This window comes from Homo sapiens, chromosome 3 (genome assembly GCF_000001405.40).
Source record: "Homo sapiens chromosome 3, GRCh38.p14 Primary Assembly".
NCBI classification, from domain to species: domain Eukaryota; kingdom Metazoa; phylum Chordata; class Mammalia; order Primates; family Hominidae; genus Homo; species Homo sapiens.
In genome coordinates, this window is record NC_000003.12 from 78,706,828 (window position 1) to 78,732,997 (window position 26,170).

The 26,170-nt window shown below is 35.5% G+C and overlaps 1 protein-coding gene across 18 annotated transcripts in view; it reads right to left on the minus strand.

The window, feature by feature from the left end:
• Window positions 1-26,170, minus strand: part of ROBO1 (roundabout guidance receptor 1) — a 1,170,760-nt gene that overhangs the window by 109,589 nt on the left and 1,035,001 nt on the right. For all 18 annotated transcript variants that reach the window (XM_017006982.2, XM_047448664.1, XM_047448661.1 and 15 more), the window contains 3 exons: window positions 10,936-11,056; window positions 10,448-10,586; window positions 7,570-7,697 (listed from right to left, as the gene is read on the minus strand). In XM_017006982.2, coding sequence (XP_016862471.1) covers window positions 7,570-7,697; window positions 10,448-10,586; window positions 10,936-11,056 — 388 coding nt within the window. The remainder of the gene's footprint in view (window positions 1-7,569; window positions 7,698-10,447; window positions 10,587-10,935; window positions 11,057-26,170) is intronic.

The window sequence follows — 26,170 nt, forward strand, 5'->3', positions numbered from 1 at the left end:
TTGTGATGACTGATTAAGAGTGAGATATGGGAAAATGGGAACATGAAGGATAAAGAGTAAAGCTGTCGACTGGCTGTGTGTCTGCAGGCTGCATTGCCAACAAGTCAAATAAAGAATATGAGGGAATTCAGCTTCTGATGTCTGGTCTGCTCTTATTTTCACTTCTTCACTATTATATTATGCAAACTAATGCTTACAGCCTGAGTTAGCAGAAACTTAAAGACTCAGACAAACCTCTGACAGCTGCTTCTTGTTTTACTGAAAGTTATAATTACTCTTCAACTCTGAGTTCATTGGGACAGTAAATAGGGGTCAATCATAAACTGCGGTGTCCTAGATATTCCAGCAAAGTTTCTTTTCTGAAGCATGTAGTTTACTAGCAGCAAGGAGAGACACTCTAGGAAGCATCCCATTAGTAGCAATTAAGTCAGGCAAAAGACAGCACGGGGCTTTTTTTCTGTCTTTGTGTCTCCCCTATTGCATGTCAGTCTCATACACTAAGGCTCAGACTCCCAGAAGCTGTCACTGGCTCATCAGTCCTAACGAGAAAGTATTATGCTCCTTCACTGCACAGTTGGCATTAATACTTAGGGGAAGCATCAGACAAAAATAACAATTCTACAGAATAGAATAGAATGCACATTCTTTTGATGTTTTAACATTCCTATTGTATGTCAACAATAAATTTAAAGCAATAGCAACATAATTCATGATACTGTATTTTATAGTTAAAAGAAAGCTGATAAAGTTGAGAGACTAGAGTGACTTCACATCAAGAGAAGAAAAATGGACAAGCTCTTATGAGAGAAGAGCTGGGATTTCACAGAAATCCCATTCATCTGATAACAGAGCATCACCTGGTTTGGCAATGTTTAGCACCTGCCTTTTCTTTGAACAGAGCTTCAAAAATTGACCCATTCTGTGAGAAGCCTGGAGAGGAGTATAGTGGGGTGTGAACTGAGATCTAAACATACCACTTCCTGTGACTGGCTGGCCCTGCACTCAGCCCTCAAGAGAAACAAGAAGACTAAGTGTCTTTTAGTTCCTGTTGTGAGAGAGACAAACAAAAATGGGATTGGATTTTCTTATACTTCAACTCAGGGAGATAAAAGGTGATGGCTTGGGAAATGGTTGGTCTGTTTTCAGGCCGTTCTTGGTTCGGTTTCCTGTGACTGATGGGACACAGCGATGGGAACATGATCACTCTGGTGATAGAGAGTCACAAATTTACTTTGGAAATGAAATTGTTACAGTAAGAAGAGCTGCTTTATCTGTGAAGTTACAAAAGGAGTGGAAAGATTAATAATGCCATCTAGTTCACCCTGTTTAAGCAATGAGTATCATTGAAGCAAGGAATCACAAGAAATCTTAGAGGCTGAGGACAAACTCAGAAACAGGAGAAACTCAAACTTTAAACTATGTGGCTTTATCACCTATCTTTCGTTTGGAAGAGCACTCCTCAAAAATGGAATAATTTAAAAAGCCACCAAGATGATTGTCATTGAAAGTAAATAATTTATAAATTTTATAGGGTTTGTTATTCATAATTGAGTAAATAGATTTTTTTTTCATTTTTAAGTATTTTGAAGCTGTATTCACCATGCTTTTCCTAAAGTCTACTTCAAACAAAGAAAAAAGCATTTGCTTTTCTTTTTAATCATTTTAGTTTAAAAATAAAAATAATAATATAATTTGGCCATCATCTGATTCTAAGAAGAACCTGAAGGCCCACCTTGTAAGCATCTAATAAATACGTAATGGATTTAGATTAAGATAGCAAAATAATATAAAAACAAACCTGCAACCATTCTTGAATACCAAGGGGAGGCATAAATTTTAGCAGTTTCAATGACACGCTGTTTAAAAACGTGGCAGGGTGCCTCTATGCATCTATGTTGTTCTTGTTAGATTTTACCTTTTATAGGTATGTCACAACCTATAAAATTGTTACAAATACTGTATGTAGTATATATCTTTTTGTCTTAAAAGATGGAGCCATGATGCAACATGAAACACCACTTCAGTGAATAATTCATTCCTATCAAGACAGAGCCAGCTATCCTAACACTCGTCAAATTGAAATGCTACAGTTCAAAAATAACAATGTAATAAATCAAAATAGAGGTGATAGGTCTTTAAAAAGATGCTTGATTTTGTTTGTGTATTTTAGGTTCACAAAAAGATTTCTTGAAAGAAAGGTATGTAGATATTATACACATGGAGAGGAAACAGGGATGCAGACAAACACTAAGTATAAATGTAACAACACTGATGGTTAACATGTATAGGTAATGAAACTTTGCTTAGTTTACAAAATGATGTAATGTGAGGTTCAGGTTTACTGAATTTTCTGGCTAACTCAAAGTTAAGCAGAAACACTTTTCTGTTGTAATTATCCCAAACAGCATTGTTTCACTATTTTGTATTGGTCATATAATGAACAGTAATTATCCTTTGATAGGTCATTACTGCTGAGCCTTTGGGTCTCATTCTGAGAATTAGTTTCAATAATATACCAATATTGGTATACCATGTATACCAATATGCAAGTTAAAGGAATCAGGATATTCTTTTTATTGCCTAAATATTTACAGAGCCCAGAAAAAATATATTTTTAGCCCAAACTTCCTAATATCACCAAAATTTTATTACAGTTTGCCTCTTTCCTAAGTAAAATAAAACCTGCATTATTAAGTAATCAATATCTTATTTGATTCAATATTTTAATTTGACTTTGGCATTCCACTGGCCAGGGACAAGTAATCCCATGAATGTTACACCAAATGTGGTACAGGTTTTAGTGGTGCAATTACTTTCTATTAACAGGGTGCAACCTCATATTTCATCCATGTTTTGAAATGATCATTAAGGAGATAAAGAAGTTTTTGAGGATATTTGCTCATGGATAATCTTACTAGTCTCTGTATGAATTGTGAGAAAGCACCACTATTTTACAGAGAGAAACAGAGGCACTGAGAATCTAAAAAATTAGAAAACAGTCACTCTTAGAGATAACGGAATGGAAATTGTGACAAAAAACCTTGGGCTGAATGTTCTTCCATTTCAATAACACTCCAATGCACATGTAATGCAATCTTTTTGATTCATTTTTCTTCCAAAATGGTCATAAATTTCAATAATTTATCTACTTATTTTCCAAAACTTCAATACATATCTAGGACTAGCTTCACTGGCGCTAGCAAAATCCAACACATTTACTATAATAGCCCGTAAGGATTTTTATTTTTATTTTATTTCTAGAGGCAGGGTCTCAATCTGTCACCCAGGTTGGAGTGCAAGGCAGGGTTCGCAGCTCACTGAAACTTCCCACTCGTGGACTCAAGCTGTTTTCCTGCCTCAGCCCCCCATGTCGCTGGGACTACAGGTGCACACCAACATGTACAATTGACTTTAAAATTAGTTTTTGTAGAGATGGAGCCATGAACTCCTGGCCACAAGCATTCCTCCTGCCTCAACCTTCCAATAAAGGTTTTAAAAAATGAAAATGTAATGCTTTATATTTGAGAAATGTCTTTAATAATTTGTCACATAATAAATTGTCATGACAATATTAGTACTTCAGATTCTTCATTTACAGTAGAAGAGCCACTGATCTAGAATTATCTAAAACTACTATTTTTCTAACCACCTAATAATTATTGAAATTAAGCAATAAAGCTATCAATAATAACACTCATAAGTCTAATGCTGTTTATTTACAAAATATGTACTGTATAACAGATAATATGTTAAATATCCTTATACAAAGGTTGGTATTACTGTGTCCATTTTACATATGGGTCAACTGAGTTTCATGAAATTTATGTAAACTCTTCTAGGTTACATAGTAGTAAATGACAGAATCATGATTCACCTAAATTCTGTCTGATTCCAATGTCCATTCTCTTAGCTACACCATTATCTTTAACACACTTCTTCTACCTTTCTAAGTCTCAAATTATAAAGACATTTTAAAAAGTCTTCTATTCTCCCTGTCAGTTCATCAAGTAACTCCTCATTCCTGAGGTTTGTGAAGTTGCTCGTTTAAAAATAAAAATAAATTTATGTGCTCCAACCCAGATCTCCTAAATTGGATTTTCTACAGGCCATGCCTGATAATCTGTATACTTAACAAGTAACTTCCGGTAAGTTTAAGAAACAGTGTCTAGCCCTAGATTTTACTCTGTTCCCTTTTCACCTCCATTCTTTTTAAAAAATACATTTCATTGTATATATTTAAAGTATACAACATGACGTTATGAGATACAGACAGTAAAACAATTACTGTGCTCTTTCAAACACAGGTCATAAGGCAGCATCATTCATAAATGGCAGTCTCTTCAAATTTGATCAAATGGAGCTTACTGTTGGCACTCAGAATTAAAACCACCAGAAGCTGCTTGAGTTTTCCCTAGGATGTCCCTGTGCTCTCTCTCTTTCTTCCTTTCTTTCTTTCCCTTTCTTTCTTTCTCTTTCTTTCTTTCTTTCTCTCTCTCTCTCCTTCCTTCCTTCCTTCCTTCCTCCTTCCTTCCTTCCTTCCTTCCTTCCTTCCTTCCTTCCTTCCTTCCTTCCTTTCTTTCTTTCTTTCTTTCTTTCTTTCTTTCTTTCTTTCTTTCCTTCCTTCCTTCCTTCCTTCCTTTTCTCTCTTTCTCTCTCTCTCTTTCTTTCTTTTTTTGAGGCAGAGCTTTGCTCTTGTTGCCCAAGCTAGAATGCAATGGTGCAATCTCGGCTTGCTGCAACCTCTGTCTCGCAGGTTCAAGCGATTCTCCTGCCTCAGCCTCCAGAGTAGCTGAGATTACAGCCGCATGCCACCACGCCCAGCTAATTTTTTTTGTATTTTTGGTAGAAATGGGGTTTCACCATGTTAGTCAGGCCGGTCTCGAACTCCGTACCTCAGGTGATCTGACCACCTCGGCCTCCCATAGTGCTGGGATTACAGGCATGAGCCACCACGCCCGGCCCCCTGTGCTGTTTCTACCATTCAAGCAGAAGTCTGAAATGCATATTCACATTTCAAATTTTAATAAGAATTTATTAGATAAAGTGCCTATTAGATGTCCAGTACCATGAAAGAACCGTGAAGAGTACACAAGTAGAAAAGCCACGGAAACCCCTAGAGTCAAGAGAGGAATATTTAAAGACATAAAGTCTAGAAAACAGCAGAATTTGGGATTACAAGAAGACCTTGGCAAAAAAAAAAAAAAAAAAAAAAAAAAAAAAAAACTCTCAAATCAGGGTTCTTTTTAAGATGCTGGAATTAACTACATCTGTGCTGGGGGTGAAAATCAAATGGCCACCCTTATGTAAGGTAATTTATTCCCACAGCTTCTACCTGCATTACTGGGCTTTATTGCCTTAACATCAATGATCAAAATTAAATACTCATTGTATGAGATGTGAGGGAGAGAAAGATTATGTTTGAGCTCGTAGTGACTCCAACACTGCCTTTTAAAAATGAGCTATACACAAAACACGGAAAGTTTTTTAACAATACAATTACACTACTGAATTTTTTTAACTGTAATTATTTCCTGCTACCAAATGGCTTCAATTCTGATTAGTTTCCTTTGTAGTAACTGGTGTTTTTCTACGTTCAGTCTCAAAAGACGAAAAAAGGCATATCTTCTCAGGTTTCCTTTGAATGTTTTTTTCTTATTTATCTTTTGCAGTTGGGAATCATGTTACTTTCTTTAACATACTGTGTTTATTATTCCAGCATGTTAAAGATGTTTTAACAGTGATGTTAATAGGCATATTTTATTTTAATATTGAATAATATATCCTCAACTATATAAAGATCTTTTAAACATTTATAGAAAACACAACGCAGTTGAAATGAGAACTTCTAAATTCAAGTAGTTTCTGGATTTGATCATTAGTGCCAATTTCCTTTGAAATCCAGGCTTAGAGAGCAAGATTTCCATACGGAAAACTTAAGGCTAAATGAATTTTGTAACTGAATTTAAAATTGCAGGAAGAAACTCTATTTTGATTTCAATGTCTACTGTATACACAGTAGAATAGCTGTTAGTTATAAAAGCATCAGGCTACCAAGGTAAAGTACTTTAAAACACAAAGTGAAACACATTTCACTGACTAACGTAATAGACAGTCAACCTCCTTATCACAATTGCCTGGAGATAGACACACCTTTTCATGTCTTGTATTCATCCTGGCTATTTTCACTCCTTCTGGAGGGCTTTTGAACTTGGATTTGACACCTCTTATATTTATGCTTTCTGTAAATGTGAAGAGGTTTTCTTTTCTTAGTTTTAGCCTTACTTGGAGTTCAAGTCTAACTTAGATTAAAGAGTAGTCTTGGCCTTAGAAACTCAATGTTTGTTCTTGATCTTTCTTTTTTTCCTTTTGTTTTTATGAGATTGAGCTAAAAACCCCAAAGTGGGACATAATGGCTTTAGAGACAGGAAGGAAATATTCTTTACTCTTTTTTTTCTAGTGTAAAAAGCCCACAAGGCTCTTTTGTACAAAGCCCACAGTAGAAATGCTCCCTCAAAAGCCACCTTTTTTTTCTAAGTAGTCTTAGAACAGACAGTGTTCAGAAAAGATGACAGCATCAAGTGTTGCTAATGTTAGACCCCAAAACAAGCTAAATGGTTTATGGCCAGAACTTCCATTTACTATATATACTGTCAAAACAGGAATTTTTTTTCCAACCAATAAAATGTTTTTTAAAGGTCATTGCCTCTGAAATTCCATAATAGACAACTTGCCACTTAAAAAGAAAAAAAAATAGAGGAAAGTTCTCAAATGGGATATAGTGAGAAATAATCAGTACGACATCACAGAGAAAAACAAAATGGGATTATGAGAATGAAAAACTTCTGGATTATGGATGGAAAAGGGGTGACAGATCCATTTCCTCCTATCAGCTTAAGACGTGACTTTGACTTTCAAAAACCTGGTAGCCATAGAACACGGTATCCACTTGGGCTCATACGATGCTAAATAATAAATCTGTATCAAAATTAGCAAAGTACAACTGCAATTCGTTCAATCAACTGATATTTATTGAGTGTTTGTTATGATGCAGGCACTCTGTGCGCACAAAACAATTGCAAAGTCCCTGCTCAATAAATCCTACATTCTGAAGAGTAATAGAATCTTCTTTTTCTGTTACAAATTGTACAGGCCCCTGAAAGTGGATGATCTTGAAGTAATGAAAGACTTGTTTTCCTCCAAAGACAAAGTTTCCTCCAAGACAGCAATAGCTGTCATTTAATTAAAAGATTAGAAGGGCTCTATGTTTGAAGACCTGGAGTTTAAAGCACATTCTTCGCCTCTACTTGACCAAGATAGTTTTTGAACTATCTTGAACATTTAATTCAATTTTGAACATAATTTTCAACATTTAATTCAATTTCCTGTAACACTTACAGAGCTCCCATAGGCAAAACAATATGTGTTCTTTAAATATGTTTGAAATACATTATTTAGAGCAATACTTAAAGTCTATATGTAACATAGCCCTATACATAATATTTTCTTCAATTATCAGCACTATATTTTGTATGCTAAAACCACCAAAACAAAGCCTTTCCCAATGCCTACCTTGAACAGTCAGAGTAGCAGATGCTTCAGCTTTGCCCACCATATTTTCTGCAACACAAGTGTATGAACCCATGTCACCAGCTGTCACCTTCCTAATTTTCAAGGTATGATCATCTCGGATTTCATATCTAATGACATAACAAAAGAAAGCACAGTTAAGTGACTTTCTACTTGAAAGATCTCATTATTATACACACAATGCTTCAAAGCACATGCTACATTCTTTTCTGATAACTTAAAACAAAGAGTAAAACATGGTATTCCTCTAAGTCAGCTGGCAGAAGAAAAGCTTGTTTTTATAATTATGTGGACTAACATATTAAACTACTTTCTAAAAGAACATTTTGGGGTAAAGTTGGCATTTATTTACTTATTTCCTCAAGCTCCTGTGCTCACACTAAAACAAAAAGATAGTGACCATTAATTAAATTCTTACCATTTGCCAGACTTTAAATGTTTTATAGATTTTATCCTTCTAAGTTTGTATAACAATGGTATGAAATAACTGTTATGCTCACCTCCATTTTTTGGATGAGGACACTGAGGTATAGGAGGTAAAGGAACTTGGCCTTGGTCCTCATCTAGTTCGGTGGCAGAGTCGAAATTTGAACCCACTTTCATTTTTGAGTTTACTTGTCTTGCCTCATCTTCCCTCCCTCTAAGTGTTAGGTTTTCCTTGAACTTTCACTTTAGTCCTCTTTTTACTCTACATGATCTCCCTGAGTTAAGTTATCTACTATAGTTTACATACTGATCTACCACACAAACATTTCCTATCCCTAATTCATCTAAGTTCCAAATTTGGATTTCTAACTAATAATTAGACATCACATCCCATAGGCACCTAATATTTAATGTATTAAATAAAACTTTCTGTTCTTCCCCTAACATAAACCAACTCCTTTTCTTAACACATTTACGTATCTTCTTTCACCAGCTGTCTATATCTAACAAGTCATCCAATTTGTCATTTTAGTCTTAGAAATTTCTCTTTACTGTTGAGCCCTGTCTCTATCTCACCTCTCAGTTCAGACAGTTTACATCTCTGATCTGGACAACCACAAAAATCGTGTCCCTGCCACTAGCCTCTCCCCAGAATAATGTAACACCCATAGTGCTAACAAAATTAATTTTTCTTCTTATTATTTTTTTGGAGATGGAGTCACACTCTGCCGCTCAGGCTGGAGTGTAGTGGCGCAATCTCGGCTCACTGCAACCTCCGCCTCCAGGGCTCAAGCAATTCTCCTGCCTCAGCCTCCCGAGCAGCTGGGATTATAGGATTATAGCGTGCCACCATGCCCGGCTAATTTTTGTATTTTAGTAGAGACAAGGTTTCACCATGTTGGCCAGGCTGGTCTCGAACTCCTGACCTCAGGTGATCCGCCCTCCTCGGCCTCCCAAAGTGCTCAGATTGCAGGTGTGTGCCACTGGGCCCGGCCAACAAAATTAATTTTTCTAAAGGGTACACCTATCTATACTAACACTCTTGGCTCACCAATGTGCATATAATATTAGGAATTCTTTATTACACAAAGCCCCTCTTAGTTTCAACCTGATATCTCATAACTTCTCATCATAAATCCTATGCCCTACCTAGCCATGCTAAACTTTATGCCATTCAAAGGAGATGACATTCCTTCTCAGCTTTGTGTCTGTGTTGTGATAACCCATTTCCTGGAATATTCTTTTCTTCTTCCTTGCTTATCAGACTGATACATACTTTTCAAGACATTACTTATGTGTCATGATTCTTTCAGAACTCTCTCCCAAATTCAAATTCCCCCCTCTGAGCTGGCACAGGTTTACCTTTATGTGACAAAAGAGCTTGTATATTAGTCTGTTCTCACACTGCTATGAAGAAATACCCGAAACTGGGTAATTTATAAAGGAAAGAGGTTTAATTGACTCACAGTTCCACATGGCTGGGGAGACCTCAGGAAACTTACAATCATGGCGGAAGGCACCTCTTCACAGGGCGACAGGAGAGAGAATGAGTGCCAGCAGGGGAAATGCCAGACGCTTATAAAACCATCAGATCTCATGAGAACTCACTCACTATCACAAGAACAGCATGAGGGAAACCACCCCTATGATTCAATCATCTCCAACTGATTCCACTCTTAACATGTGAATCTCAGGATTCAAGGTGTTGAAAGATTTGGGTGGGGACACAAAGCCAAACCATATCAGCTTGATATTGTTATTCTGTATCTATCAATGCATTTCCTTTTGTGAGCTCCTTGAGAGCAGAAACTATGTCTAAGCCACTACTGTAATCCCAACACCTAGACAGAAGGCTCAACACATGTTTGCTGAAGGAGTGAACATAATGGAGAAGACGGCCCGCTGACAGTACCCGAAAGCCTTTATTTGAATGGCACATTCCCTAAGGCTCCCTGATTCGTGCATCTCTGCTCCTGGCCAATTTAAGGACTTGACAGATATCAAGAAACTCCAACCTCTTCTACCATTCTCTGGTGGTATTTTAGCTGAGGAAAAGGAAGCCTGATTTTTAATTGGCTCATAGATACATCCTTAAGGCTGTATCTTTCTTCCCTTTCCTGCCTACTACCAAACCAAAAAACTAGTATTAACTGTCATCTGGTTGAACAGAAGAGAAACCTGTGATATTAAAGAATATCATATTTTACAAGGGTTCCCTCTGCAGCCCAGGGTCACGAATGCACAGTTCTTCTCTGAAAGCCTCAGAGAAAGCAGGATGGCAACCTCCTGCTTCTAATTATCTCCAGTATTGTATCTGGCCCCTGATAGAGGATTCTAGAATGGACTATTCTAATGGCCCGGATGTGGAGATGATGTGATGAGAAACGTAGAAATGCTGAGTTGACAAATCATATCATGAAACTCTGATGTGTACCTGGATTTGGGCAGCTCTCCATCATCTTTCCTCCATCGTACTGTAGGTACAGGGTCACCTCGGGCCTCACATTTAAATTCTGCACTGTCATCCACAGTTACTGCCAAGTTACTGGGTCTCTTCACAAATGATGGTCTCTCTAAAATTAAAAAGAGTCATCTTAAGGTAAAATTTTAAAATGAACCAGCTGAAAAACACTTTAGGAGTTCAGTAAGAGCATATTTTTAATTTAAAATATCAGCGAGGAAATTATTCCACAGAGTCCCCTCATTCTAGAAGCTTCTCCCTAGGTTTAGTGCTTCCTCCTAGTCCTCCTCCCACATCTTTGGCTATTTTATCTCAAGCTGCTTTTCTGATTTCTTCTCTCCTCTTTCTACCCACCCCCTAAAAATATTTGGCTTAACAATTTTTCTTTCCCCCTTGTATACAGACACAAAATGATAAGAGATCTATTTTTCAATGAGAAGATTAAATAAAATTACACTTACCTAAGACAGTCAGCTCGGCTACTTCACTCTCACGTTCCCCAACCATATTGGTACCAACACAAACATATTTGCCAGCGTCACTTTTACGGGTGTAAGTGATCATGAGCTTTCCTCCTCGTATCTTAAAAAAAAAGTTTCACAGGAATACTATTAAAATTGCTTCAGCTATGTTTACATGACAGATGTCTTCATAAGTGAAGACTGCTTTCTAAGCATATAAATCAAAGCATAATTACATCAACAGCTGATATGTAGTATTTGCTATTTTTAGGTAGTACCCTTAAAGAGAATTGACTCCAAAGGTACAATATAAAAGAAGCAAAAATGTTTCTCCTTACTTACATTTCATGTAAAGTTATATTCTGTATAGCTAGAAACTTGTTGCCCAATCGGCCAAGTTATTTCATATTATTTAGTTAAGTGAAAAACCATAAAAAATTGCGTGAATAATTTAGTTAGCAAGAGGAAAGAGAAAAAGAAAATTCTTAATACCATATGACTATAATTAATATAGAAATATGTATTAGCTATAAGTGATTTCAAGAAAATGTATTCTAGCATTATATGAATTAATTAAAATGTCTCTAATAACTTAATTTGCCAGAGTTGCTTTAAAGAATGTATCTTCATTGCGAAAACATAGTAGAACCTGTTATTTCCTTAAAAACGTGATGTTGCTGCCACCCAAGCTGGTTTTTGGGGACTTGAGAGGCAGAGAATGAACAGGTCCCAGTAAATCATCAGGAAAGACATGCTTGGGTACACTCTTGAACATATAATTAATTGAATAAAAATTAATTTTAAATGTAAGCAGACATACAGTATAAGAAGTCGACTGAAACTAAACATGAATTAAGATTGGACTATCCTTAATTTAACACGCTTTTGGATGAGAGTTGAGTTCAATTACCCATGAATATCTACAATGTCCTGATCTTAGAAAGGTTTTATTAGGGAAAATTTCCAGAATGTTTATTCATAGAGGTTTTTTACCTCATAGTTACCAACCAGATAAAGGAAGAAGGAAGGAAGGAAGGAAGGAAGGGAGGGAGGGAGAGAGGGAGAGAGGGAGAGAGGGAGGGAGGGAGAGAGGGAGGGAGGGAGAGAGGGAAAAAGGGAGGGAAGGAGGGAGGGAAGAAGGGAGGGAAACATTCTAGCACATTTTTTTCATAATACATTATGGAGTTCATTGAAACTACCACTTTGTAAAGGTGAGGTCCCCTCACAGTTTTGAATGCCTAAATGGCTTTATTTTAATCCAGGCATCCAAACTAGGTATTCTGGCCAAGTCTTTAAATATTAGAGGAAACAAAACATTAACAAAGTTTTTAATTTTTATGAGTTTAGAACTTGATTTTTTTTCAGTAGCATCATAAACAAATGATCAGCCTGCTCCAGATTCCCATCCAGGGATTTTTCTCTGCATCGTTCATCATTCTATCCCTCATAACCAGAATGACGCCTGCACGCAGTAGTCACTCCAAATACTGTTGTTGAACGTAAACTACTATTGTTAGTCTGTTATCCAATTTAAAATATTTCTATAAGGTTTGTAACAGTTATGTGTTAAATTGTTTTATTTTTTCATACATATTTAAATTTTCAAATAGAGAAATATAAAGAAAACGTCACACAAAAAAAACACGTTAATTATTGTTAGTACTTTTGAACATCCGTCTTTCAATTATGTGTGTATACATACACACTCACATACACACATGCATATATATACACATTTACCATGAATATATGTTTATATATACATATACACATATAAACATATATACATACACATAATTTTTCTAAAGTAGAATCACATGATATGTGCTGTTTTATAAGCTGCATTTTCAAAAGTATGAGGCATTACTATATTTTAAATGTTCAAGAAATTTTACACAGATCCTCAGCATCAATTTCCAAGGCTACATACAATTCTAACATTTGGGTTTACTACATTTTACCTAACTATTCCCATACTGATAGATATTTAAGACATCAGTGCTAGGTAATTTAGAAATCTCATTCTTCCCGCTTATGAACAGCACTGAAATCAGCATTCTTTTGTATATATCTTTTCTCATATGTGCAGTTATTTCCTTGGGAGGTATCAAAGTGGGATTCTTAAAGGTATACCCAACTTAAGGCTATTGGTTTATATTACTAATTATCTTATGTTTCATAAAGTCATTTTAATATAAATATATCATTTAAATTTTTGTCTTTATCATAACCCTGCTGTGAGACTGTTTGGGAAGTGTTAAAATAACCTCACTTTTCACTAAAGGGAACAGTGGCTCAGAAAAGTATAACCTCTTCTCCCACATACCTCTGGTATGCGCATTGTAAAAATATGTTTTAATTATGCTTCCAAGTGTCAGTCCCCTGACCTTAGTATCAACATTGAGGCAGAGAAGCATATGTAATTCCTCATGGGAGCCCCTGTTACAATGCCTTGTAAATAGTAAAAATTTTGTGGGAGGAAATGACTTGTGCAATGTCACACAACAAGTGGAAACAAGGTGAAGACTTTAGGTCAGATATGTGTCTTTGCATTTATGCAGCCAACAGACACATGAAAAAATGCTCATCATCACTGGCCATCAGAGAAATGCAAATCCAAACCACAATGAGATACCATCTCACACCAGTTAGAATGGCGATCATTAAAAAGTCAGGAAACAACAGGTGCTGGAGAGGATGTGGAGAAATAGGAACACTTTTACACTGTTGGTGGGACTGTAAACTAGTTCAACCATTGTGGAAGACAGTGTGGCAATTCCTCAGGGATCTAGAACTAGAAATACCATTTGACTCAGCCATCCCATTACTGGGTATATACCCAAAGGATTATAAATCATGCTGCCATAAAGGCACATGCACACGCATGTTTATTATGGCACTATTCACAATAGTAAAGACTTGGAACCAACCCAAATGTCCATCAATGATAGACTGGATTAAGAAAATGTGGCATATATACACCATGGAATACTATGCAGCCATAAAAAAGGATGAGTTCATGTCCTTTGTAGGGACGTGGATGAAGCTGGAAACCATCATTCTCAGCAAAGTATCACAAGAACAAAAAACCAAACACCACATGTTCTCACTCATAGGTGGGAACTGAACAATGAGAACACTTGGACACAGGAAGCGGAACATCACACACTGGGACCTGTTGTGGGGTTGGGGGGGGGGCGGTGGAGGCATAGCATTAGGAGATATACCTAACGTAAATGATGAGTTGATGGGTGCAGCACACCAACATGGCACATGTATACATATGTAACAAACCTGCAGGTTGTGCACATGCACCCTAAAACTTAAAGTATAATTAAAAAAAAAAGATATGTGTCTTTGGCTATACGAGTTGTACAAATGAAAATAAATGCACAGCTCACATCCTTATTATCTTAATTACTGCTTAATAAACTTGAGTTTAAAAAACTTGAGTTCTTGAGGTCCAGAACAATTTGAGTATCATCTTATCAAAATCTTCCTAAGAACTTTTGTAACCTTTCATGCGCTGATTTTGGAACACTCGCATAAGCATTTCCAAAAATCCTAAGGAAACAAAATTATTACAGGAAAAGAGGAAGATGAAAAATCCAATATCTGAAATGGAAGTTAAGTGAGCTGAGGTGTAGCTAGATGTTTCTTTATTAGTTCTATAACTTTGGATAGCACGCCGAGCCTCTTCTTATGCCTCAGAATCTAACCTTGAAGTCTCTGGATATTTAGGAGACAAGTTCATTGCTGAAAGAATTGTACAATGATACATAAAAGATATACCAAAATAAGAGGAAACAAACACATAATTTAACATTCTCTTTGTTTTAAGAGTGAGTAAGTGTTCAATGTTTTTTATCTACTATAAAATGTAAGGCTTTAAGGACAATTTTAAGACATATTCAAATACATAGAAAAATTGTGAGTCAAAGGATAATAACATATAAATAATTTGCAACAGCTTAGATTTATTTCTACAGCTTCAGTATAATACAGTACTAATTTACTGTTACAAATCTTAAATACTTGGGAATGTAGAGTTTTAAATCAACTTGCTTATGCACACGTGGGCCACCAATTAACATTATATATTACAGCCCAATGCTATTATATGTTGAAAGAATCTATACAAATGGAGAAGGAGGGGGATTTAGTTAACAAGAGTAATGAGGGCACTGCCAGGAGATTCACAGACATGAAAAAATTCCAATTTCAAGATGAATGGGAGGAAACAATAGCTGAGGTAAACCAAAATTCAAAGACAGCTATAAAGGCCTAAGGAATTTGTAGTATACACCCTATTACTATAGCTCCAATTATATATTACACTTGGCTTAATCATGAAAAAAATTGTATAACTGAATCTATCAGACCTATTCTTTGGGAGCACATATCCATGTGTTTGGTATTGAATATAGATAGAAAAACTGTTTCTTTTCAATAAAAATTTATTTTACAGCCATCTTTTACAACTAAATCACATTGGCTGTGTAAATTGAAAGTAACCCACCAGGCATTTTACAAATACTTTCTCTATCCTTTGTAAGTAAACAAAGCTGGAGTTTGTTTACTCTGTCAAATTTTTCTACAAGAAATGTTAGTGGATAAGCATCATGAAAAGCTGTTTTCATTAGTAACATAATATGACTAAAAGCATATGGTTACACAGTGTTCATACATGTAAAACTTTCATATCAATGCAGCAATATAAAACAAATCAAGGCCTGAAAAATATAACATTTGCAAAACATTTTTAGTGAGAAAAATGCACTTTTGTAACAATAGCAGAGATATTAATCATCAATGACTAAATAAGGTCAACTAAATAGCACCTTTGTTTTTCTACTCAAGGTATTCTTTACCAAGATTACCTAGGTAAAACCCAAAGACAACAAAATATATACGAAAATGTGACATTTTTAAAAAGGATTTCTAAATCCTAGATCAATTTTCAGATACATATACTTAGGAAAGCAAAGTGAGCACGGGCTCTGGAGTCAGACTACTTTTTATTATATATGTGTAACTTTAGCCAAGATATTAGTTCCTCTGTATCTCTGCTTTTCAACTCTAAAATGGGAATCCTATTAATATATAACTCTAAGGATATTATGAAGATGATGAAATAAACCATATAAAGCACTTAGAAAAATGCCTGCACATTATTATTATAATTATTTATTACACATACGCAGTTAATGATTTAATATTGTTTTTGATCTGTCTAATCAAAAACAATATTCCTTTCTTAGGCTAAATCCAGTAGCTTTTTATTAATATTACAATTATAGGTCACATAATAACATTTTGGTTAAGGATGAACCTCATATATGATGACGATCCCATAAGATGATAATGGAGCTGAAAAATTCCTAGTGATGTTGCGGCTGTTGTAAGATCGTTTCCAGTGCATCACCTTTTCTACATTTAGATAGATTTAGATACACAAAAAACTTGCCGTTGTGTTAGAATTGCCTACAGTATTCAATCCAGTAGCATACTGTACAGGTTTGCGGCCTAGGAGGAACTGGCTATATCATATAGCCTAGGAGTGTAACAGGGCTGTACCATGTAGGTTTGTATAAGTAAACTCTATCATGGTCGCACACAATAAAATCACCTAACAACACATTTGTCAGAATATAACCCTGTCATTAATCAATGCATGACTGTAATTACTAAACAACTTCCACTGGTTTCATCAGGAAAATATATATTTGCATTGACACAGCATAAGACTTAGAAACAAGTAAATTTTAGGCTTTATAGATCATTATTATTTCCTCCAAAACAGCGGTTCTTAATGGAGGCAATCACCCTTCCTCTCCCCGGAGATATCTGGCAATGTCTGCAGACATATTTTGTTGTCAGAACTTGGTGTGGGGTTGGGGGATTGAAGGGTGTGTGGGGGGCGATGCTACTGGTATCTAATAAGTAGAGGCCAGAAATACACATCAAGGAATTATCTGACTCAAACTGTCTATAACGCAGGGATTGAGAAACTGTGTTCTAAAGACCCAGCTCTGGACTAAGAATAAATGCTGGATTCAAAAGACAAAAGGAAGGAAGGGATACAATTAGATAATACAAATAATATTTATTGTAGTTAAGGAAAAACTGCTGAGATTTCCCAGATTCGTATACTCTCCCGCATAAATTTCCCATCTCAACAATAAACCAATTTCATTATAAAATACAACATTCTGTTATATACTCACTGACAATAATGGTTAAGGACCCCAAAGTAGATGATACAAAAAATGAAAAAATAAACAAGCCTCACCAAGCCTGGGAGACACTGCCTCAGGGATGATAGAGATAGAAACTGGTAAAAGTGAAAGAACAAACCACAAAGTAGGGCAAATGAACTTCAGAAACAGAAGAAACATGCCAGTTTTCAATTTCCATAAATTCAAATTAATTTTGGCATTATGTCAATGACTACATTGAAATGGATCTTAAAAGGCCATAATTCTACTCTCAACGGTCACAAATATGGAATACATGGTGGGCTGTTCATTTCAATAAACAAAAGAACAGAAAAACAACATAGTACTATGACCCTGATCGAATATAACATACCCACTTTCAAGCAGTGCCTACTAGTAACAATCAACATTTTGGTCAGGCACAGTGGCTCACACCTGTAATCCCAGCACTTCGGGAGGCAGAGGTGGGCGGATCACCTGAGGTCAACAGTTTGAGACCAGCCTGGCCAACATGGTGAAACCCCATCTCTACTAAAAAAAAAAAAAAAAAAAAAAGCCTGGTGTGCTGGCACATGCGTGTAGTCCCACCTACTCTGGAGGCTGAGGCAGGAGAATTGCTTGAAGCTGTGAGGCAGAGGTTGCAGTGAGCCGAAATCATGCTACTACACTCCAGCCTGGGCGACAGAGTGAGACTCTGTCACACACACAAAAAAAGCAAAAAGAAATCAACATCTTATGTTGAGTCATATAAAAATACTGATTGTAAATTTAGGGTGAGTTTATACATTTTAAACTGTGGTGCCCCTATGTAAGCCAAAAATGAACATTTTCTCTGTCTACATAGGGAAGAAAAATATGTCTAACACAAACAAAACACTATAAATGTGAAAACAGCACTATTTAAAATAAGCTAAAATATTTCTTGGCAGGTCTCTTCCTGCGGCTGGATTTGACAGTCGAATTGTAAACCTATCAAAAACTAGTTTGTGTAATGAACAGACACAATGTTAAACACTGAACTGCTGGAGCACTATTCAATTAACATAATCCGGGTAGTGGAGAAGCAGAACATGTTAAACTTTCAGACAATATGCTGGCATTTAGCCTATGTCAAAAATTCAAGGCAGAGGTCTTCCTTCCTCATTACCATATACCTTACCAGCCCACAATAGTAACCACATTAGAAGCCCACATTTCCATAAGCGCTAGACAGTGCTTAAAGAGGCCCTTAGCTATAAACATACTTGATGAAAGCAAAGCAAAACAAAAAAATGTCCCACTGGTCTTGCTCCTTTTTGGGAAAGAGACAGAGAGGAGAGAGGAAAAGAAGATAAAGAATTTTAAAGTTTCAAATATATTTAAACTTCCTATTTTTCTTTGTAATAGTCTCAGGTTAAAAAAAATGTTTTAGAGATGTCAAAATGTAAAAATTCTTGATGTGTTTAATACATATGATTTTTATATATCAGGAATTTTCCCTGTAAAAAACTAGAAATGACTACTTTTTTTAGGGGTAAAGACTTCTCTGAGCAGTAGGAAATCCTGCCTTCATCTCCTTTACTGAATTGCTTACTGAATAATTATAGAGAATAATCAGGTTTAAGATGTAGCTTTTCTACCAAAAGTGGAGAAAACCACTTTATGTCTCTGGTTAGCATGGAAAAACTAGCATCAGTATTCTTATTTCCAGAATACAAGAAACAAAATTTAACTTTGCACACAAAGAAATATACTGCCTTTAAAAAAGTAAATTCAGTAAACTTTTTTTGTTCAGTTCCCTTTTAAAACATAAATTCATAAGTTTTTTGATTGGGTTATCCGAGAGTACACAGCTTACCCTGAAATCAGTGCTCACAATCAGAAATAAAGATGAACTTAAAATGAACTCCTTGTGATGTCTTCATTTTCTACCCTAAAGCAAGTCAGATGATTTGCAGTATCTGTTACACAGGAATTTTTTTTTTTTTTCAGACATCACCCCCACAATGTTATCCATACACCTCTAGGTTAACACAGTGAACAGACTGGAGCTAATTAACTAGTTTGGCTACACAAATTCTTTTCTGCTTTTAATTACATTAACCTAATGTGACTTGAATTCAACAGACCAAAAACAAAACCGCTAATTATATTAAGGGCTTCAAAGATGATTTCAAATTGCTAACCACCAAACTGTCATAGAATTTATCTCATTTCCTTTAATATATTTTACATGCAAAATCTGTGCTTTACTAAAAATACTATTTAAAAATACATCAAAACAATGAATAATAGAATATTGATTATAATGCTAAAAGAGAAATATGTTTCAACTAATACAGATAAGACACACATAGGCATCATCATACCAATAAGAAATTATGCAGTACTAAATTTTTACAATTTTCTAAAAGATTAAAGGTTTGAAAATATTGATTTACAGTAGTAAGGGCTTGACGAGTGGGATTCACATGAAGAATGAAGTTGTCTAAAGCACCTGAGTTTAGAAATTATTTTTTCAGAAAAAAACTTGATTCTTTACCACCAACCCGTTTTCATACTATTTTGCAAATTAAGTGAGATGAGAGGTTTTGAATGATAGTCTAGCGTATCATCCTTAAACAATTCACCACTAACTCTCCTTGAGCAGAATATCTCTTCATAGAAATGCTGTCAATTCTGCCTGGATCTTTGACCTAGAGAATAGAGAGCAAGCTGTTGTGAACTACAGATGTGCCTGGCGTGGCTTCTTAACAACAATGAGATGCAGGTAACCCAGATGGCCAGTCATAGCCCCCAGACATTCCCCTTGGTGAAATCAGCTGCAGTACAGTTTTAGATGATCCCTAAGGACTCCTTTCAACAGAAACATTTGAAGAAGAGTCACAACAATAACGGCTTTTCTTTCTTTAAATTTTGGCATCAAATTAGTAACAACAACAACAACAACAGTAACAATCCAGAAAAAATAACTTGTTTGAGGAGGGTGCAGAGAATAGGAGGAGGTAAAGTAATACCCATTACTTTCCAATCTGGCTACAAGAATAATATCAGCCTTTAATGTTAGACAGTTCAGATTAAAACATTCATATTTTCTAATGCATGCCATCCTATTTTTCAAAAATAATCATGCTTTATTGCCTTCTAATTAAGCAAAAACATTGCTAGTACCATAATTATTTTGTACAAATGACAGACAAAGAATTGGATAATCAATCCCAAAAGTATCATAGTAACATAAAAATATATAATCAAGTAAAATAATTCATATAATTCAGATATTATATAATATAAAAGAAAATACAGTATTTCTTATTTTATAATATTTCCTTGTCATAGTCCCAGGTAGGTAGTGCAAAAAGAATACTTTAAAAAACTACATCTCGGCCGGGCGCGGTGGCTCATGCCTGTAATCCCAGCACTCTGGGAGGCCGAGGCGGGCGGATCACAAGGTCAGGAGATTGAGACCATCCTGGCTAACACGGTGAAACCCTGTCTCCACTAAAAATACAAAAAATTATCCGGGCGTGGTGGCGGCACCTGTAGTCCCAGCTACTCGGGAGGCTGAGGCAGGAGAATGGCGTGAACCCAGGAGGCGGAGCTTGCAGTGAGCCGAGATCGAACCACTGTACTCCAGCCTGGGCGACAGAGCGAGACTCCGTCTCAGAAAAAAACTACATCTCTTATTAAATAATTTCATGTTTTTGTTAACTATGGTTTAATTATATTTCTGAACATACACATTAATAATTTTGTCTTTAAGACCTACATTTTAATGTAGTTAGCTATCAGATAAAAATGTAAATTGTTCATAAATCGATTCAAAACCATCACCATCAAAAATCATTGATAGAGAGAAACTTATATTTACTGATCTAGTGACCAATACTTCTAAGTGTAAGAACAAATTTCAAGAAATTCATTTTTATATATTCTATAAACATGTATATTTTATATATTTATTTGTACTAATCTCACAAAATAATTTTAAAATTCTATGTATTTATGACAAAATGATTTTATATTTAAATATCAAAGCAAATATTTTATTTTAGATTAAATAAACAATAAACCTCAGCCAAATCACAGTTCTTCTTGGTTAGCAAAGTTTATTAAAGATTTTTTGATCTTTCTATTTTTTATAAAAGCTATTGATTCTTGCTTCATTTTCCCAAAATTTCTTACCTCCCTCTATTCCTATTTTCTTCTGGTTCACAGAGCCCTAAAAGAGAGAGAAAGGGGAAGGAGGAGGAGAAGGAAAAGGAGGAAGGAGAAATGCATTATTTTAATTATTTCCCACTCGAGTCTCTTGATTAGATATGATCTGGTTTCATGCTGTGCGTTCACAGGCTGTCGGGTAAACTTGTCTTTAACTCAAGACCAGTCCAATATGAACTCATAACACAAAATGACAGCACTGTACCCCAAGATGGATGAAACTAAGGAAAACAGATTGTATACCAATATTCATAAGATTTTGTTTTTTCTTCTAGGTTATAAAAAAAAAAAACCCAGATTAGTCAGCTTTCAATTAAACTGTAAAAAGTACCTAGATTTTACAAATTATTCACTAGTCTATTCTCAAGTGAAGGGTATTTCATCATTTACAGCCTACTCAAAGTGTAAATAATGTTCCTGGGGTTTGCACAAAAAATGTTTTATATAACAAAAGGACACCGGGGCAAGTACACACACATTGTAAAGAAAATATGAGAATGATAAATTGAAAGCAATCAAATGACCATTCTAAAAATTCCTGGTGACATAAAAAAGGACAGCATTGCATGAAGAAAAGCCATAACTTGTTTCAGGTCTTTCAACTACTCTCTTAGGAGTGGAATTGAGAGGAAAAATAGGCAATTAGGATCTCTCCATTGGCGTCCCATATTTGCCTGGGCTACATACACACAAGAGAACATGATCCCGTTTCATTTGTTTCCTGGTACACTTTACAATACCATTTGAAAACCAACATGAATTCAGCCAGGAGTTTAAACACACTTGATCATCAGAGAGAAGCAACAAGAGACTTATGCAGAAAAAGCAATTATCCCAGTGGGAACACGTGGCTCTTTGCACAGCTTGGTGAGCTGCCAGCTGAGAACACAGGCCTGGGAGAGTCCCCGCCTAGGACTCTGGCAGCTGCACTTCTCTGCTATTTCCATTTCTCCTCCTAAATTTCTCATTTCTTCCTCATAACAATTGATAAATTGGTAGTTGGCTGTTTGCTGCTGCAGAAGCACACCTATGATAATTTGATTATAGACTACATCAGGAAGAGCTGTGTTGCTAATTGCACGTAAGTGGGAGCCACCCTGCAGACAGACATAGTTAAAGGAAAGGATGATTTTCTTTGTGAAAGTATAAATTAGTATCTTGCTCTCTATCCAATGTATATCACCAGAGATCCTTTTCATGATTCCTAATTTTAATAAGTAATAATAGAAAGAAGTAACACAGCCCTCTTTAAACACAACAATTTTGCTTGCTTAGGTGTAGCTCAAAGACAATATGAAGCCTTGGGTATGGCATTTTTCTGCTGGACACCCATTTTCCTGGGCTAGACAGAGGTACGTAGCCTAAAGCAATCAACCAGGAAAGCCCCTTCTAATTTATAGTATTAACCAGGAACAGACAACTGCTGAGTGCTGATGAAATGGAGAGCAGATGAAACAGTGAAGGCTTTTTAGCAGATTTCCCCAGGTGTCTGGTTCCCAAATTATTAAGACTAGAACCCCAAAGTGAATCCTATAAAAGGAGGCAATATAAAGAGTGGTTTTAGCCTTTGCTAGCTATCTTCTAAAAGTAAGAAAGCTAATTGATTTTTACCTCTATGAAAATTCTAGGTAGATTACATGGTAGCATTCAGCCTTAATATGAAAAATTGATTTAGCTTATAGCTATTAAAGTTAATGTATTATTTCCTTCACAGGTCTCATGAAACAGTGTCCTGCTGTTTTAAAGGTAAAAAACAAAGTCTTATGGGCAATTTTCACTTTCCCACAAAACCAGGTTTGCTTTTTATCACCTCTTCCAACCATCTGGCTCTAATTCTGAATTTACATACAGTCACAGCTAAGACAGCCTGAAATAAAAATCTACAAGGGAATTATGACTATACTCTAGAAATAAAGATGACAAATGTTCATAGTATTTGAGGGGAGAAAAGCTTATTTTCAAACTCTTGGCTCTTTTGAATTACAAGTACACCAGCTGAAAATACTTTGCCAACAGTAAATCCCTTTTCCTCTCTCTGGGTTCTTATACTTAGCTCTATAGTTTGGTCCAGTGTGAGAAATTCCCTCACTACCAAATGCTTGCTAAGATAAAGCCTTTTCCAGAGACCACGTATAACTTGTTACCCTTGAAATTTACATTGACTTACATTCTGTAGAAGACTCATAACCATGGCAAAGTCAAATCAAGGTTGGGTATGCAAGGGATTCCTTGATATAGATTGACCAATTTTACTTTACAGAAATGCATTTTTTATTCAAAAATATAAACAGCATTTAATATTACTAATTAAGATTCTACAGAAGAAGAAATATTCCTAAAATAGCTACAAATTGAAGTAAACACTCACACACATTCTGTGGTATTTTAATCCCAAAGAGTCAAAGGAGAAAAAGAAGAGCTTGCAAGTGACAAGCTTAATTGATTAATCAGAAGTTAGGGCTCATCAGACCAGGGTAAGAGATTCAATATCCATATGGCCAGTTGCTTCACCCTCCTTTGTTGAACACGAGATTATGCTAGAATGTAGCTCACTCACTTGGCAAATTTGTGCCTCATTTCCTATGGAAAACACGTTCAAAACATAAATAAATCCCATATCTTCCAACAATACACATGTTAACATGAATTAAAATATTTCTACATACATCCTTAGAGGAAGCAAGTAGGCTAATTCTTCAATGTGAGGAAGAAAATACGACCTTAGAAAGACAGGTCTGACCTAGCGCTTAAAAAGGAGCTTTCTGGTGGGCTACATTAAACTTCAAAATTATCAATAGGTACTTTTGCTATTTCCTGAGAACTAATAATTAACTCATGGACAAATAAGAAATAAAAATAAACTCATCCTGACCATTTCTATTTCTATAGTTATTGGTGAAAACAAAATAAAAGAGAAAATGATCTGTGTAAAGAGTATTGTAAAAACTGTTTGGAGGGATATTTATTTGGAATGTTCTTTCTTAGTCATAAATGGTTCCATTCCATAGCCAAGACAAAAGCATGCTGAACAGAAAATGTAATACAAACGGTATTAATTGTAATAAGGGATATGAGTGTTTTATATGGCTTCTAACCTACGTCTAGGATATACTGTTGGAACTTTGAGCTGAAAAATCAGAATCTTGTGCATCCTAGGTTGCTTCCATATAAACCGATCTTAAGAGTTCCAGCATTTAGGGATGGGAAAGCCTGCACTAGAAGTTATATCAGTCAGTGTGAAGATTAAAGAACAAAGTAAAATCAATGAAAAAAGCTTGATCTGACATTTCCTGCCTTTCTTCTGCATAGAATATATGTTCTGTGATGGCAAAAACTTTCTCCTAGTTTTAACATTTAAAAACACAGCACTTACATAGAAAGTACACTATCAGAATTGTTCACAATCTAAGAGATTGGACATACAGAATTCTTATGATTTCAGTCATCTCTTCTGAAAAAAAATGCTGAATATCTTCAAATTTATGTGAAAAGCACACTATTTTATACTGCATTATAGCAGACAAATTCAAATTCTGACCACTCCATACTAAAATAACAAATGTATTTAAATTCTCTGGTGTTTCTATAGAAATTTTAAAGAACTTAAGAATTGCAAAAGCTTAACATCTGAAAAACATTATGTCCTGTGTGTAAACCGCTTTTGACAGTTCTTCCTGCAGTACACGAAAAATGCATCAGTGAATCTGTGGTCAATTTAATAAATGTGCCAATGTATTTAAGCAACAATCTGTATTACTGGTATTGTTTTAATTAATGAGAACTGTGATATACCAACACCAGCTATATACATAGCATTGTTACATGCATTATTTTTAACGTCGAAAACATTCTCACAAGGTGTATTTTCCTATATTTTGGATTAGAAAATTAAGGCTCTGAGAGTATCAAAACTTGCTCCAGATCATTTGGTAAGTACACTGAAGCTCATTCTACATAGATCCAAAGTAAAGCTTCTATAGAGGGCTTTCTTTGAGATAGAGAACAACAGCTTATATTTTCTTTGCTTCTCACGCCATAAACTACAAATTCACAATATTTTTAAAACGTATAGATCCCCAAACTGAATGGCTGGAAGAACAAATAGGTGCTATCCATGGACCTCCTTAAGCATATTACATTGAAGTTCCCCCTTCCAGCACACCCCATATTTAAGCCTAACCAATCTGGACATCCAACCTAATGGCCATTAGTCCATGTAACTGTCAGCAGAAAAAAAACAATGTGTATGTTTACATTTCATATTTGCATGTGTTGTCTGTAGGACTAATGTTGTAAGGTAAATATCCCACATACATTTCTATGAAGAAGAATGCCTCTTCTCTTCCCATGCAAACATGTGCTTATTATCATGAATGTTTAAAGGTTAATCAGAATATTTATAAGCTTCCCTAATAAAGATGGGGAAATGTGGCATGATCTTTTATATACATGATGCATGGAACAATACAGTGATGTCATATATCGAGGTGAGAGAAGAGTGACACCATGCATGTGAATAGGCTAAGGAATAAGAAATCATGGATTCCTTAGTAAATTGTACTCTATCCACTCAAAGAGACAAATTTACATTATTTCCAGCCAGTATTATACAGATTAAGCTCAACTGCTTTTGAAATGTTCCCATACAATATGATGCTCTTAAAGGTGACTTAAACAAAAGCCTGTTTCTAATGCAATAGGCTTTTAAAGCTTTGTGATCACCTCGATTTGTAAGATTTAAGAAGAGTAAACCTGTACCATCTGGTAGTAATTTTGTTAATGCACAACAGATTATTTTACAAGTGTACAATTTATCATAT